General features: G+C 47.3%; 1 annotated feature.

The window, feature by feature from the left end:
- Positions 333–1124: an enhancer, noted in NCBI's record as "H3K4me1 hESC enhancer chr3:71956813-71957604 (GRCh37/hg19 assembly coordinates)". NCBI's record gives its function as "activates a minimal SCP1, AML or CMV promoter by ChIP-STARR-seq in primed H9 embryonic stem cells {active_cell/tissue: H9 hESC(primed)}" and the evidence as "EXISTENCE:reporter gene assay evidence [ECO:0000049][PMID:30033119]".

The following is a 4364-nucleotide window of genomic DNA, read 5'->3' as shown; positions in this document are numbered from 1 at the left end:
ACCGTGTCCCGAGAACGAGTGTGAACAGGCAAGGACCGGGCTGTCTTCAGCAGTGTCTCCACCCACCTCTGCCCCGGATAGAGTTGCCCACACCCTCTGTGGGGGCTCACTAAAGCAGCTATTATACCTGCCACACTGGATGGCAAGTGTTTATTCATCCACTGTCTCCGTTGCCAGTCACGAACTCATGGTTAGAACCTTATTTCTAGACTGTCCTATTTCATCATAGTCCCTGATAGATTGACGGGGCTCAAGAAATGTTTGCACAGATAAATGAATCTATATAACCCCTCAGCTGAGAAATACTTTGAATCTCTCTGTGCCAGACCACATTGCCTGTCCAATTAAAAAAAAAAAAAAAGTGCAGCTGGGATCAATGTTGTAAAATATGATTTCCCAGGCTTTGGCTGCACTCCTCCAAAGACAGGAAGAATAGAACAGTACGGCACTGGGGGTCTGGGTCTTAATCCTTGGACAGCCTCATTTCCCACTTGTGCTTCCCGCATCCGTGGGGAGGCGCCGTCCAGGGATGCAGGATCTCTGCCAAATCCCAGGCGTCTGCGCCAGGATGCTCGGGGCTCTGGGTCTGGGGTTCTGGTTGGAAGCCCTGCCGCCTGGGCTGTCTGCCTGCTCCTCACTTGGAGACACATCATTCCTGGCCTCTGGCCCCGTCATCGGCTTGCCGTCAGCTTCCTCATTGATTTTTAAATTTTATTATTGGCTTTTAGAGCGCTTGAGGACCTGAGGCTTTCCTTCACCATCGATTTGCTTGTTCCCAGCCAAGGGGGTGAGCTTTGCCATCTTCATCCCCTGGCTGCTGACCAGCCCCTCTGTCTTGTACTTGGGGATCCCTGGCTTGCTCTGGGTCAAGCCTGAAAGACTGGGCTCATTTCTTCAGACATCTGTCGTGCTGAGACACTGCTCCAAGCCAATTTGAAGGCTGTATTCGCCATGACCAAGTGACAAGAGCTGACTTTAATTAAGTGCAAGCTCTGTGCCAGCTACTGTGCTGAACACTTGATGTGCATCATCCACATTTAATGTCTCAAGAATCCCTTGGACATAGGTAATTTATCACCAGTGTACAAATAGGGAAACTGAGGCTCAGAGAGGCGCAGCCACTTAGTGACCATAGAGGTATTTGCATAACCTCTACAACAGTACTGCTCAAACTATTGCAGCCTGGTATATGGTGTGTCTGTGCATGAGCAACAACACATAGCTCAGGCCACATGCAACTCACCCTCCAAGTTCAAGTTCAACACCACCCTAGCTGGTTTGTGCCACAACCAGTAAGTCCCACGATCACAGCTATCTCAATAGCATTAAATTGCAATAAAAGTTTCCAATCCCATCCTCTCAGTTCTGTACTTCCCTTGGTAACAAACAATTAGACCAGCAGCCCACACTTGTGTGGCACTTGTCCAGTGGATGCTGGGGCACCTTCCTGTGTAGAGGGGTGACCATGGAGGAATTGTTTCTGCAGGAAGAGAGGAGAGGGGTTTGGCCCTGCTGGGTGGAACTTGGACTTTTTCCTTCAACACTGTCTCCGCTTCCTTCTGCCTCCATCATAACCCCTACAGGACCGAGACCGTGTCTGTAAGTTTACTTCCCTCCTTTGACCACAGGGAAAATATCTGTTCTGAAACTAAATTTTTAATACCATACAGCAGCTCACTGCTTCCTACTTTTAAAGGCCCAGGGATGGGGCAGACTCTTTTGCAGTCCTCTCCTTTCTGATCTGCTTCTGCCCTTCTCTCTCTCTCCTCCCTTCCTCTTCTCCCCTTCCTTCCTTTCCCTCCTCTTTTCTCCCCTGTCCTCCCTTCCTCTTCTTCCTTCCCTCCTTCCCCCCTTTCCCCCTACTCCTCTCTGTTCCCTCTCTCCTTGCCCATGTGTAGCAGCCTATATATTTTTCCATGAAACACATCTGTCAGTGTTAGCATCTCAGGGTGGTTTTGGGACACACCTGGCACAGTAAATCCTGCAACTGGGTACCTAGGCAGGTGGCATGCACCAGCAGCCTGGATCTAAAACCACGGCCAGCACTCTGGAGGAGTGGGTTCTTCTTATGGGTTTGCCACAGGCCCAACAGACAATAATCCTGTGTGAGTGTGAACAGGATAGGAAGGGAGGAAACCCTTCTGAAGGCCAACATTGTTCACAGTGCAGTAATCACGGGGAGGTTATTCTCTCAGGCAGGGGGTACGTGTTTAATTTATACACTCTGGACCTTGGGTTTTGTGGTTTGCATTGGATTGCTGTACTTCATGTCATTGTTGACCCCTGGAGCTCAGAGCCAAGGGCCAGGTGGGTGCTGCCCCAGGAGATAGAGTTGGACAGGCCCGGGGCTTGTCACACACAGCAGGTAGGCATCCTCATCCCCACCAACCACTTTGCTTGTAAATAATTTAACCCTCTTAAACCTAAGTTGCTTATATAGAAGATGGGGACAATAAACATATTCTCAAGGGTTAGGATTAAAGGAGGTAATAATCCACATGAAAGAGCTCAGGGCCTAGAACCTAGTAAGGGTACAACGAAGATTAGCTACTTGTACTGCCACCCTTATTGCCTATAATGTACAGATGAGGACTAGAAAAATTCATCAAAGTCATGTGGCCAGAAAGAAGTGAAGTCAGGATTTGAATCCAAGCAGTATGATAGCTAAGCCCAGACTTAACAAATGGGCTTCACTGCTCACTCAAATGTAGCCTCTGTTACAGAGGAGTTGATGATGTATCTGTGAGCCCCTTGAGAACCAGGATCATGCCATTTTCATCTTTGCATCCCAGTGCCTGTCATAGTCTCTGGCACACAGTAAGAGCTCAGTAAATGTTGATGGAATGAATGACTGAATCAGGAAAAACACAGGTCTGGAGGAATAAGTTGGGCTAATTTCAGGAAAGGATGGGGAAGAAGAGGGGGCTATAGAATCTGTTACTTAGTAACTTAGTTACTAGCACCAATACATGATTGACTCAGAAGCCAGCAGGTACTGACCCAATGTTAAACCAACCAAATTATGGATCTAAGGACTCCTACGCTTCCTTGGTTAGGTTAATCTGGTCCTAAACCTGCCTTATCCTTATGTAAAACAGAGGTTGAAAGGTGAGGGGGAAGGAAGTAGACATTCAAATAAGACCAGAAGTTAGACATGTAATTTCGAAATGTGGGTTCTGAACTTCCTCAAATTCTAAAACCACAGGCTTCCTACTTGCTTTAAATGTTAGCCAGGGCCAGGCCCAGTGGCTCACGCCTGTAATCCCCATACTTCGGGCAGGAGGATCGCTTGAGCCCAGGAGTTTGAGACCAGCCTGAGCAACATAGCAAAACCCTGTCTCTACAAAAAATACAAAAATTAGCTGGGCATGGTGGCACACACCTGTAGTCCCTGTTACCTGGGGGGCTGAGGTGGGAGGATCACTTGAGCCCGGGAGGTTGACACTGCAGTTGAGGCTGCCACTGCACTCCAGCCTAGGTGGCAAAGCAAGACCTTGTCTCAAAATAAATAACTGTCAGCCAGGACCAGCTAACCAGCAAGTTCATATCTGTCCTGCTTGAGAAGGATACCCAGCGTAGATGAACATCAAGGCTTCTCTTTTTCCTTTTAATAATAGTGTTGTTTTAAGTTTCATTTTTAAATGCATTCTCGATCATTATAGGAAATTTAGAAAACATAGCAGAATAGGAAATTTTTGTATTACTCTAAGTCCTTAAACTTCATAACTACTATATGCATTTTGCTGTATTTCATTCCAGAAGAAGATCACTTTTTAACTAAAGCTCATTGAGTATTGACACTTTCTAGTTCCTACAGATCTAGTGAAGCCCTCGAGATTTATTTTGGAAGAAAAAAAGTTCCAGGCTTCTAAAGAGGCACCATGACATAATGGAAAGACCCTCAATGACAAGTCGGGTGATGCTGAGTCCATTCTGCCACGGCCTCAGTGTCTGACCTCCGCCAGGACATTCACTGCAAGGATTTCAGTTTATCTTTCTTCCCCCATTTTCTGCCCATCTTTCCTTAGTCAAAGGCCTGGCCTGCAGACTTCAGGTTCCTGTATCAGACACAGACATGGGCTGCCACACAGCTGGGACTATGGAACCAGCTCTTACGACTGCAAAAGGCCAAATCCCTATAATAAAACCCCAATAGTAAAGATCTTCTAAAGGTGCTGCTTTTCTGAGTCCTGACCCTTCCAGCAGGGAAGGTGGCCACCATATGCATAAAACTTGCACCCTGCAAGCGTGGCACTGAAAGGGTCTTTTGTGAATCTCATGAGGCTCGTGATGATTGTCCACCCCTCCAAGAGTGTAAACTCCCTAAGGGTTGGGTTGTTGAGAGACCCCCATAGCATAGCAGT

The sequence above is a fragment of the Homo sapiens genome, chromosome 3 (genome assembly GCF_000001405.40).
Source record: "Homo sapiens chromosome 3, GRCh38.p14 Primary Assembly".
Lineage (NCBI taxonomy): Eukaryota > Metazoa > Chordata > Mammalia > Primates > Hominidae > Homo > Homo sapiens.
Note: the sequence above shows the minus strand (reverse complement) of the source record. Positions and strands in the feature narration are given on the sequence as shown.